The sequence below is a fragment of the Homo sapiens genome, chromosome 3 (assembly GCF_000001405.40).
Source record: "Homo sapiens chromosome 3, GRCh38.p14 Primary Assembly".
Classification (NCBI taxonomy): Eukaryota; Metazoa; Chordata; class Mammalia; order Primates; family Hominidae; genus Homo; species Homo sapiens.
The window spans coordinates 122,475,171-122,487,650 of NC_000003.12; the positions used below are offsets into that span (position 1 = coordinate 122,475,171).

Here is a 12,480-nt window from a genome sequence, read left to right on the forward strand (position 1 = left end):
AATCAATAAACAAAAACGTGTAGCATTTCCATACACTAACAACAAACTATCTGAAAAAGAAATTAAGAAAACAATCCCATTTACAATGGCTACAAAAATAAAATAAAATACTTAGGAATAAATTTAGCCAAGGAGGTGAAAGACCTGTACATTAAAAACTACATAAAACACAGATGAAACAAATTGAAATAAATGAATGGAAAGATATTCTTATGTTCATGAATTAGAAGAACAGTATTAACATGTTCATACTAACCAAAGCTATCTACAGATTCAATGTAACTTCCATCAAAATTCCAATGACATTTCTCACAGAAATTTTTTAAAATCCTAAAATTCATATGGACCTACAAAAGACCCCAAATAGCCAAAGCAATCTGGAGCAAAAATGAACAGAGGAGGAGGCTTCACACTGACTGATTTCAAAATACAATTGACCCTTAAATGACACAGGCGTTAGGGAAGCCAATCCCCTACGCAGTCAAAAACCTACATATAACTTTTAACTCCCCCACAGCCTAACTACAAATATGCTACCATTGACTGGAAGCCTTATCAATGACTTAAACACTAAATTAACACATTTTGCATGATATATGTATTATATGCTGTATTTTTTACAATAAAGTAAGCTACAGAAAAGAAAATGTTATTTAGAAAATCATAAGGAAGAGAAAATATAGTTACAATTCATAAAGTGGAAGTGGATCATCATAAGGGCCTTCATCTTCTCATCTTCAAGTTGAGTAAGCTGAGGAGGAGGGAAGAGGAAGGGTTGGTCTTGCTGTCTCAGAAGTGGCAAAGGCAGGGGAAAATCTGCATATAAGTGGACCCAAGCAGTTCAAGACCTTATTCAAGGGTCAACTGTATGTTACACACTATAGTAATCAAAACAGCAAGGTCTTGGCATGAAAACGAACACATAAAGCAATGGAATAGAATAAACAGCCCAGAAATAAATCCACACATTTATGATTAATTGATTTTTCTACAAAGGTGCCAAGAACACACAATAGGGGAAGAACAGTCTCTTCAATAAATGGGGCTCAAAAAATTAGATATCCATGTGCACAAGAAAGAAACTGAACCTTTATCCCACACCATAAACAAAAATTAATTCAATATGCATTAAAGACTGAAACTAAGACCTGAAACTGTAAAACATAGGGAAAAAGCTTCTTGACACTGGTCTAGACAATGATTTTTTGGATGGAACCCCAAAAGCACAGGCAACAAAAGCAGGGCGACAAATGGGGTTACAACAAACTTTTTAAAAAGCACAGCAGAGGAATCAAAAGAGTGAAGAGATAATTTATGCAACAGAAGAAAATATTTGCAAACCGTACATCAGATAAGGGGTTAATATCCAAAATATATAAGGAACTCAAAAATAACTCAATAGTAAGAAAACAACCTGATTTTAAAATAGGGAAAGAACTTAGTCATTTCTCAAAAAGAAGACATAAAATGGCCAATAAGTATATGAAAAAAATGCTCACCATCACTCATCACCAGGGAAATACAAATTGAAGCCATAATGAGGTATTACCTCATACCTGTTAGAATGACAATCATCAAACAGACAAAAGATAACATATTGGCGAGGATGCTGAGGAAAGGAAACCCTTGCACATCGCTGGTGGGAATGTAATTTATTACAGCCAGTATGAAAAACAGTATGGAGGTTCCACAAAAAAAAAAAAAAAAAAAAAAACTAAAAAAAGAATTACCATATGATCCAGCAATCCCACTACTGGGCATATATCCAAAGGAAAGGAAGTCAGTATGTCAAAGAGATATCTGCACTCCCAGGTTCACTGTAACATTATTCACAATAGCCAAGATATGGAATCAACCTAAGTGTCCATCTCAGATGAATGGAGCAAAAAAGTGTGGTCTATATATACAACAGACCGACGTTCTTAAAAATGAAAGAAATCCTATCATTTTCAACAACATGGATGAACCTGGAGGATATTATGTTAAGGCAATAAGACAGATACAGAAAGACCACATAAGCATCTCACTTTTATGTGGAATCTAAAAAAGCCAAACTCACAGAAGTAGAGAGTATAATGGTTGTTAATAAGTGTGGAGGGCTGGGGACAGGAAAGGCTGGAGAGATGTTGGTGAAGGGATACAAAATTTCAGTTAGGAAGAGTAAGTTCAAGAGATCTATTGTACAACATGGTGACTATAGTTCATAACAGTATATTGTACATTTGAAGACTGTTAAGACAACAGATTAGCCAGGCATGATGGCTCACACCTGAAATCCCAGCAATTTGGAAGGCTGAGGACGGAGGATCATTTGAGACCAGGAGTTCAAGACTCACCTGGGCAACACAGCAAGACCCTGCCTCTACAAAAAAGCAAAAAATTAGCTGGGCAGGGTGGCACTGGCCTGTAGTCCCAGCTACTCAAAAGGCTAAGGTGGGAGCTCCAGGCTACGGTGACCCACAATCACACCACTGCACTCCAGCCTGGGCGACAGAGTAAGACCTTGTCTCAAAAAAACAAATCCTGCTGAGACTGTAGAAGTGTGCTTAACACAAAATGATAGGTATATGAGATGATCTGTATATTAATTTGCTTGATTTAGCCATTCCACAATATATACATATTTCAAAACATCATGTTGTACACCATAAATATATAAAATTTTATTTGCCATTTGAAATATCTGTATCAAAAAAAAAAAAAAATGTCCAGGCTGCGTGCAATGGCTCATGCCTGAAATCCCAGCACTTTGGGTGGTCAAGGCGGGGGGATCATGATGTCAGGAGATTGAGACCATCCTGGCCAACATGGTGAAACCCCGTCTCTAATAAAAATACAAAAATTAGCTGGGCGTGGTGGCACGTGCCTCTAATGCCAGCTACTTGGGAGGCTGAGGCAGGAGAATTACTTGAACCAGGGAGTTGGAGGTTGCAGTAAGCCAAGATGGCACCACTGCACTCCAGCCTGGCAACAGAGCGAGATGCTGTCTCAAAAAAAAAAAAAAAAGAAAAGAAAAAGAAAAAGAAAAAAGGGTCCAAAGAGAGGAAATGGTGCTGGAACAACTGGGCACACACAGGCAAAAAAACAAATCTAAACCACAGGTCTTACATCCTTCGTTCACAAAAATTAACCCAAAAGGAATCACAGACCTAAATGTAATAAAAAACTAGGCCACGCGCATTGGCTCACACCTGTAATCCCAGCACTTTGGGAGGCTGAGGTGGGTGGATCACCTGAGGTCAGGAGTTCAAGACCAGCCTGACCAACATGGTGAAACCCCATCTCTATTAATACAAAAATTTAATCGCAGCACTTGGGGAGACTGAGGTGGGCAGGTCAGGAGTTCAAGACCACCAGCCTGGACAACATGGGGAAACCCCATCTCTACTAAAAATACAAAAATTAGCTGGACATGTTGGCACATGTCTGTAATCCCAGCTACTCAGGAGGCTGAGGCAGGAGAATTGCTTGAACTGGGACCCAGGAGGCGGAAGTTGCAGTGAGCCAAGATCGCGCCACTGCACTCCAGCCTCGGCTACACAGCGAGGCTTCATCTAAAAAAAAAAAAAAAAAAATTAGCCAGGCATGATAGAAGGCACTTGTAATCCCAGCTACTCTGGAGCTGAGGCAGGAGAATCGCTTGAATCCAGGAGGCGGAGGTTGCAATGAGCCAAGATTGTGCCATTGCTCTCCAGCCTGGGCAACAAGAGCAAAACCTCGTCTCAAAAAAAAAAAAAAAAAAAAAAAAAAGAACTAAAAAACTCCTAAAAGGTAATACAGGGGAAACGCTAGAGTTCCTAGGATTGGTAATGATATTTTAGATACAACACCACAGGCATGATCCATGAAATAACTGATAAGCTCAACTTCGTTAAAATTAAAACATTCTGCTCTGTGAAAGACGCTACCAAGAGAATGAAAAGACAAGCCACAGACTGGGAAGAAATATCTGCAAAATATCTAATGAAAGACTGGTAGCCAAAATATATAAAAAACTTAACAGGAAAACAAACAACCCACTTAAAAATGGGCCAAAGACCTTTATAGACACTTCACTAAAGAAGATATACAGATGGCAAACAAGCATATGAAGAGGTAACCCATATTATATGTTATCAGGGAAACGCAAACTAAATGAGATACCACTACCTACCTATCAGAATGGCCAAAATCCAAAACCACTGCTAACACCAAATGCTGGCAAGGCTGTGGAACAGGAACTCATATTCATTGCCGGCAGAAAAGGCAAAATGGTACAGCCACTTTGGAAGACAGTTTAGCAGTCTGTTACAAAATTAAACATACTCAGCCAGGCACAGTGGCTCATGCCTGTAATCCCAGCACTTTGGGAGGCCGAGGCAGGTGGATCACCTGAGGTCAGGAGTTCAAGACCAGCCTGAGCAACATGGTGAAACCCTGTCTCTACTAAAAATACAAAAATTAGCCGGGAGTGGTGGTAGGCGCCTGTAATCCCAGCTACTCGGGAGGCTGAGGCAGGAGAATCACTTGAACCAAGGAGGCAGAGGCTGCAGTGAACCGAAATCATGCCACTGCACTCTAGCCTAGGCGACAGAACAAGACTCTGTCTCAACAACAACAACAAAAATTAACTCTTCCATAGGATCAGCAACAATACTCCTTTGTATTCATCAAAAAAACCTGAAAGCTTATATCTATACAAAATCCTTCCCACAAATGTATATAGGAGTTTTATCCATAACTGTCAAAACTCAGAAGCAATCCAGATGTCTTTCAGCAGGTAAATGGATAAACTATGGTGCATCCAGACAATGGAATATTATTCAGCATTAAAAAGAAATGAGCTATGAAGCCGTGGAAAGACATGGAAGAACATTAAATAATACATATTATTAAGTGAAAGAGGCCAATCTGAAAAGGCATACACATTGTATGATTCCAACTATATGACATTCTGGAAAAGGCAAAACTATGGAGACAGTAAAAAGATTAGTAGTTGTTGTAGGAGGTTGGGGAAAGGAGGGACAAATAGGTGGAGCACAGAATTTTAGCACAGGGAATCTACTCTGTGTGATATCAAACCCACAGAATGCACAACACCAGGAATGAATCTTAATATAAACTATAGACTTTGGGTGACGATGTGTCAATGTAGGTTCATTAATTATAGCAAATGTATCACTCCATGGGGGATGCTGACAATGCCGGAGGCTATGCATGTGTGGGGGCAGAGAGCATATAAGAAATCTCTGTACTATCTGTTCAGTTTTGAGGGGAACCAAAAACTGCTAAAAAAAAAAAATTAATTAAGGTCTTTATAAAAATAGTGAAATAAACTTTTTTCAGACACATACAAACTGAATGAATTCATCATAACAGACCAGTCCTATAAGAAAATGTTAAAGGATGTTCCTTAGATAGAAGGAAACTAACACCAGATGAAATACAGATCTACAAAAAGGAATAAAGACCATCGGAAACAGTAATAATGTGGTACAATTTTTTTTAAACTTTTCTCATTTAAAAAAAAAAAAGTATTTTAAAAAAACCATTGAGGCCAGGCACAGTGCCTCACACCTGCAACCCTAGTGCTTTGGGAGGCTGAAGCAGGAGGATCACTTGAGGCCAGGAGTTCGAGACCAGCCTGGACAATACAGTGAGACTCTGTGTCTACAAAAAATAATAAAAAATTAGCTAGGCATGGTGGCGTGTGCCTGTAGTCCTAGCTACTTGGGAGGATGAGGTGGAAGGATCACTTGACCCTGGGAGCTCAAAGCTGCAGTGAACCATAATGGCACCACTGCACTCCAGCCTAGGCAATAGAGGGAGACCCTGCCTCAAAAAAGATAACAAGTGTTCCAAGAAGGTGGAGAAACTGAAGCCTTCAAACATTGCTAATAAAAATGTAAAATGGTACAGCTTTTGTAGAAAACAGGTTGGCAGTTCCACAAAATATTAAATGTAGATTTACCACATAACCCAGCAATTCCACTCTCAGTATACTGTACTAAGTGCCGTACTTAGCATACCGTATAGTACATACATAGAAATAAAAACATACATCCACACAAAAACTTGTATGTGTTCACAGAAGCATTATTCACAATAGTAAAAAAGTTAATCCAAATGTCCAACAACTGAGTCAATAAACAAAAAGTGGTATATCTGCACAATGGAATATTTAGTGAGAAAAGGGAATGAAGTACCAATACATGTTACAACATGGATCAATCTTTAACACACTCTACTAAGTTAAAGAAACCAATCACAAAAGACCACATATACTGTATGATTCCACTTATATGAAATGTCCAGAATAGGCAAATCTATAGAGACAGAAAGTAGATAAGGGTTGAGGGGTCCTAAGCGGGGAGCAGAGGGAATGGAGAGTGACTGCTAATGGGCATAAGGGGTTTTTTAGCGGGTGACTAAAATGTTCTAAAATTGGTTGTGGTGAAGTACTGGAACTCTATGAATATACTAAAAACCACTGAATTACACACTTCAAGTGGGTGAATTGTACAGCGTGTGAATTATATCTCAATGAAACTGTTTTAAAGCCAATGCTAGCTAACAGAAAGCTGGAGTGACTGTATTGTAATGTCAGACAAGTTGGTTCAAGATAAATAATATATCAGAAAGTAGGTAATTTCATAATGATCAAGGAGTCAATTCATCAAGAAGATGTAAGAACTCTAAACATTTATATATCTATTCAACTAGGAACAGAAGAGAACTTCCTTAACGTCATATGACATTTTGGGCTCAATGAAATTTTTTTTTAAGGTTTTAAAGAAACTCTCCTAAAAAAGTTTTTCTTTAGCATACTGTATAAGAACATACATAGAAATAAAAACTTTTTAAAAAGAGAGAGAACTTCCTTAATCTCATAAAATACACACATGCATCACTTAACAAGAGTCTGAGAAATACATCACACGACTTCATCATCATGTGAACATCACAGATTGTAGTTACACAAACCTAGATGGAATAGCTACTACACGCCTAGGCGATATGATATGCCCTATTGCTCCTAGGCTACAAACTTGTACAGCACGTTACTGTACTGAACACTGGAGGCGATTTTAACCCAAAGGTAAAAATTTGCATATCAAAACATAGAAAAGGTACAGTAAAAATATGGTAATTATAATCTTATGGGACCACATCATATATGTGCTCCATAGCTGATGGAAACATAGTTATATAGTACATGACTATATATGAAAAACCTGTCATTAACATCACAGGTAATGAAAGACCCACTACTTTTCATCTAAGGTCAGAAATAAAACAGATAGGTCTGTTTTTATTATTTTCATTCAACACTGCACCATTAAGTTCTAGTCAGTACAACCAAACAAGTTAAAGAAATAAAAGTCATCCAGATAAGAATGGAAAATAAGGAAACTTTTATCTGTAGATGACATGATTGCCTATGTAAAAAACCCAATGGAATCTATAACAAAGGGACTAGAACTAACAAGTGAGTTCAGCAAGCTTTAGGAGATCAATATACAAAATTAAATTGCATTTCTACATATTAACAATGAACAACTGAAATCTAAAAAATAACAATTACAACAGCATCAATAAAAATGAAATACTTAGGGAAAAATCTGACAAAAGATAAAAATCTGTAAGACCTATACACCAAAAACTACAAATTGCTAAGAGAATGTAAAGATGACCTAACCCCCGCAGCAGGTCTCAGTAGCTGGTAGAGACTGGGGAGGACGGGATGGGACGGGATGGGACGGGACAGGACAGCAATAGCTAGGCAGCCTAGCTTCACCAAGGCTCTCGCGCCTCTCCACCACCAAAATATCAAAGAGGAAGGAAGGTCAGCTCAGCTGAAGGGATAGTGAAGGAAGAGCCCAGGTGGAGACCCAGCACAGTTCTCAGCTAACTCTGCTCCTACAAAAGTGGACAGGAAACCAAAAAAGGCAGCAGGAAAGGATACATCTTCAGACAAAACAAAAGTGAAAAGGAAAGCAGAGAAAATACATCGCAGTGGCAAACCAAGAAACTAAAGATTTACCTACCTACAGAAAACAGAGAAACTAAACTGAGAAAGCCAGAGGAAAAAAAAGCCAAGTGTGATTAATATCACATACCTTGTCTTATGAGTCATTCCTGTTTCCCTTCTTGTACTATCCACAGGAATTTTCTGGTTTTTTCATTGTTGTTGTTTTGTTTTGTTTTTTTTAAATTGGAGTTTCACTCTTGTTGCCGAGGCTGGAGTACAACGGTATGGTCTAGGCTCACTACAACCTCCACCTCCCAGGTTCAAGCAATCCTTCTGCTTCAGCCTCACAAGTAGCTGGGATTACAGGCGCCCACTACCACACCTGGCTAATTTTTGTATTTTTAGTAGAAACGGGGCTTCAACATATTGGCCAGGCTGGTCTTGAACTCCTGACCTCAGCTGATCCACCCGCCTCAGCCTCCCAAAGTGCTGGGATTACAGGTGTGAGCCACCGTGCCCAGCCTAGAGGAATATTTTCATAAACTATTTTGTAAATATAAGTTTTCTAGTAGCTCTAGAAACATTTTTAAAAGGAGGGAATCCCACCTCATCCCATTTTTTAAGTGTAAATGCTTTTCTTAAGAGGTGAAATCATTTGCTGGTTGTTTATTTTTTGGTACAACCAGAAAATAGTGTGGGATACTGAATTATGGGAGGCTCTGACATTCCATAGATGAGGGATTAGTTTTTATATCCTACAATACAAAGTATACAAAATGGCAATATGGAATCACAGTCCTGCATTTAATGTCTTGAATATTTTAAATTACTTCTATTCCTATGTTATTTTTTAGCAGAATTGTTTCCTAAAGAAAACCACTCCTTGATCATGGCTCTCCCTATCAGAATTGTGCATACTCTGTAAAATCTTCAGTCATGGTAGTGCTGTTTTCCTAATAACTTTGTTAATGTACTGCAAAAGATTGAAAATTTGAATATGTAGTATATATGCTATTAAACTGTGAATTGGTGGGATGTATGCAGTAACTTAACATTTTAAGATACTGGTACTGGACAGCCTCTTAAAAATTTGCCTCCAGATTTTAAGCTGGAAACTCACTGGAATAACTGTTTAAAAAAGAATTACAATACACAGCTTTTTAGATTTTTAGTACATAAGAACTGTGTACAAACTGAAATGTCTGTATACTAATCCTCAACACAACCAATAAAATCTCAATTATAAAAAATAAACATGACCGGGCACAGTGGCTCACGCCTGTAATTCCAGCACTTTGGGAGGCCGAGGCAGGCAGATCACCTAAGACCAGCCTGGCCAATATGGTGAAACCTCATCTCTACTAAAAATTCAAAAATTAGCTGGCATGGTGGTGGGCGCCTATAATCCCAGCTGCTTGAGAGGCTGAAGCAGAATTGTTTGAGCAAGGGAAGCAGAAGTTGCAGTGAGCTGAGATCACACCACTGCACTCCAGCCTGGGAGACAGAGTGAGACTCCGTCTCAAAAAAAAATAATAATAAAAAAAATAAATAAAATAAAGGAAAGCAAAGGAAAGGAAGAAAGAAAGATGACATAAATAAATGAAGATACTGTGCTCATGGGTCAGAGGACTCAAGATTGTTAACAGTATCAATTCTCCAAACTGATTTATAGATTCAACATAATCCCAATCAAATTCCCAGCAGGCTTTCATGTACAAACTGAATAGCTGATTCTAAAGTTCATATAAATGTGAAGGACCTACAATAACCAAAACAACGTTTTACTTTTTTTAAGGGATGAGATCTCGCTTTGACGCCCAGGCTGGAGTGCAGGGGCACAATCATACCTCATTGCTGCCTCGAATTTCTGGGCTCAAGCAATCCTTCTACCTCGGCCTCTTGAGTATCTGGGACTATAGGTGCATGCTAATTAGTTTTGTTGTTGTTGCTGTTGTTGTTGTTTTGTTCTTTCTGTAGAGATGGTGTCTCGCCACCTTACCCAGGCTGGTCTCAAACTCCTGTGCTTAAGCAATCTTCCCGCCTCGGCCTCCCAAAGTGCTGAGATTACAGGCATGAGTCACTGCACCCAGACCAAAACAATTTTGAAAAAGAAAAAGTTGGAGCTCTAACACTACCTGATTTGAAACTAATCTTAAGGCTACAGTTACCAGCCAGCATGGTATTTAAGCTAGATAAATAGACCAATAGAACAAAGTAGAGGTCCAGAAACAGACCTATACAGATATGGTCAACGGTAAGTGTTTCCAAGGAAATTCAATGGGGGAAATAATCTTTACAATAAATGGCACCTGAACGACTGGATAGCCATATGCCAAAAAAAAAAAAAAGAACCCTTAACATGTACCTCACATCAGATATACATGCTTGTTCTTTAAAATGTTACTTTTGTAAATGAAAAGGCAAGCCACTGACTGGGAGAAAATATGTGTAAAACACGTATCTAGCAAAAGACATATCTAGAAGACAATCGACTCAGTTAAAAAATTTAACTGGAAAGGAATTTTTTTTTTAACAGACTTCACTAAAGTAGATACACAGCAAATAAGCCGATGAAAAGATGCTCACTGGTGATCTATCGTATAGCATAGTGACTACAGTTAATAATAATGTATTACATAAGTCAAAATTGCTGAAAGAGTGAATATTAAATGTTCGCACCACAAAGAAGTATATAAGATGATAAATATACATAATTATTATTTGCCAATTAAAAATAAACTTTTTTAAAAAAGAAAAGATGCTTACAACTTTATTTATTAGGTGAATGAAAACTGAAACCATCATGGAGTACTTCTACATACTCCTCAGAATAGCTGAAATAGAAAAGACTGACCATACCAAATGTTAACAATGATGTGCAGCAACTCAAACTCTTGTACACTGCTCATGGGAAGGTAAAATAGTACAACCTATTTTGGCAAACAGTTGACAGCTCCTAAGTATACACCAGCTATACAACCCAGCCATATCACTTCTAGACACTTACCTGAGGGAAAAGAAAAGTTATATCCACACAAAAAGCTGTCCACGAGTGTTCCTAACAATTTTATTTGTAATCACCAAAAACTGGAAATAATCCAAATTTCCATCAACAAGTGAATGGATAAACCAGTTGTTGTTTATCCATACAAAAGAATACTATTCAATTATAAAATGGAATGAACAATTCATACACAAAACAATAAGTGAATACCAAAATGATTAAACTGTGTGAAACTAGAAAGAAAAAGAATACACGTTGCATAATTCCATTTATGGTAACTAATCAGTAGTAACAGAAAATAGATCAGAGGAAAGAGGTAGAGAAAAATGTACTAAAAAGGTGCACTAGGAAACCTCTGGGTGAGATGAATATGTTCACAACTTAACTATGGTGATGGTTTTCACAGACTGTCAACCAGACTGTCATAAACCTATTTTTGAAAGTATCTATGTTAAAGTCTGTGCATTCTTTTTTTTTTTTGAGACGGAGTCTCGCTCTGTCGCCCAGGCTGGAGTGCAGTGGCGCGATCTCAGCTCACTGCAAGCTCCACCTCCCAGGTTCACGCCATTCTCCTGCCTCAGCCTCCCAAGTAGCTGGGACTACAGGCACCGCCACCACGCCCGGCTAATTTTTTATATTTTTAGTAGAGTCGGGGTTTCACCAATGTTAGCCAGGATGGTCTTGATCTCCTGACCTCGTGATCCGCCCGCCTCAGCCTCCCAAAGTGCTGGGATTACAATTCTGTACATTCTTAATGATATTAAAGCACACACTATTTCATCCCTTTGGAGGATGCTAAGAAACCAACTCATTATTCTGAAAACAAATACAGGAAGAGAATCAAGCATTTCTCTGTCCTGTGTGAACTGTAGCTAAGGGAAAGGTCTTCTTTTGAGTGACCTTCCAGCGAATAAAAGCAGAAGGAATGATCACTGTAACCTCTATAAAAGTAATGGATCTAGGCAGGGACCATCAAAGACTGCTAAAACTTGAGGTAAAAAGCTGTCGGGCCTCTTTATAATGACAGATCAGGCTGACAAAACCAGAATGTAAGGATTAGTCAAGTAACCAAATTAAAAAATAGGCAAAACACCAGACATTTCTCCAAAGACATACAAATGCCAACAAGCATATGAAAAGATGCTCAACATCACTTATCATTAGACAAATGGAAATCAAAACTACCATAAAATAAAACGTGTACCCACTATGAAAAACAGTAGGGAGGCTCTTGAAATATTAAAAATGAAATTATCATTATGATCTAGACATCCCACTTACGTGTATATGTCCAAAAGAATTCAAAACAGAATATCAAAAGAGATATTTGCACTCTCATGCTCATTGCAGCATTATTCACATGGGCCAGGAGGTGGAAGCAGCCCAAATGTCCATCAACAGATGAATAAGGAAAATGTGGTAATACATACAATGGAATATTATTCAGCCTTAAAGAAAAAGGGATCCTGTCACAAGCTACAATACAGATGAACCTTGAAGTCATTATGCTGAGTGAAATAAGTCA

The 12,480-nt window shown here is 38.2% G+C and overlaps 1 protein-coding gene across 4 annotated transcripts in view, besides 2 other annotated features; it reads right to left on the minus strand.

The window, feature by feature from the left end:
* The window catches only part of KPNA1 (karyopherin subunit alpha 1), a 93,038-nt gene that overhangs the window by 53,269 nt on the left and 27,289 nt on the right, over positions 1–12,480 (minus strand). The gene's annotated exons all lie outside the window — the stretch shown is intronic.
* Positions 6,309–6,358: an enhancer, noted in NCBI's record as "active region_20373". NCBI's record gives its function as "activates an Ori minimal core promoter by ATAC-STARR-seq in GM12878 lymphoblastoid cells {active_cell/tissue: GM12878}" and the evidence as "EXISTENCE:reporter gene assay evidence [ECO:0000049][PMID:35858748]".
* Positions 8,002–8,061: an enhancer, noted in NCBI's record as "active region_20374". NCBI's record gives its function as "activates an Ori minimal core promoter by ATAC-STARR-seq in GM12878 lymphoblastoid cells {active_cell/tissue: GM12878}" and the evidence as "EXISTENCE:reporter gene assay evidence [ECO:0000049][PMID:35858748]".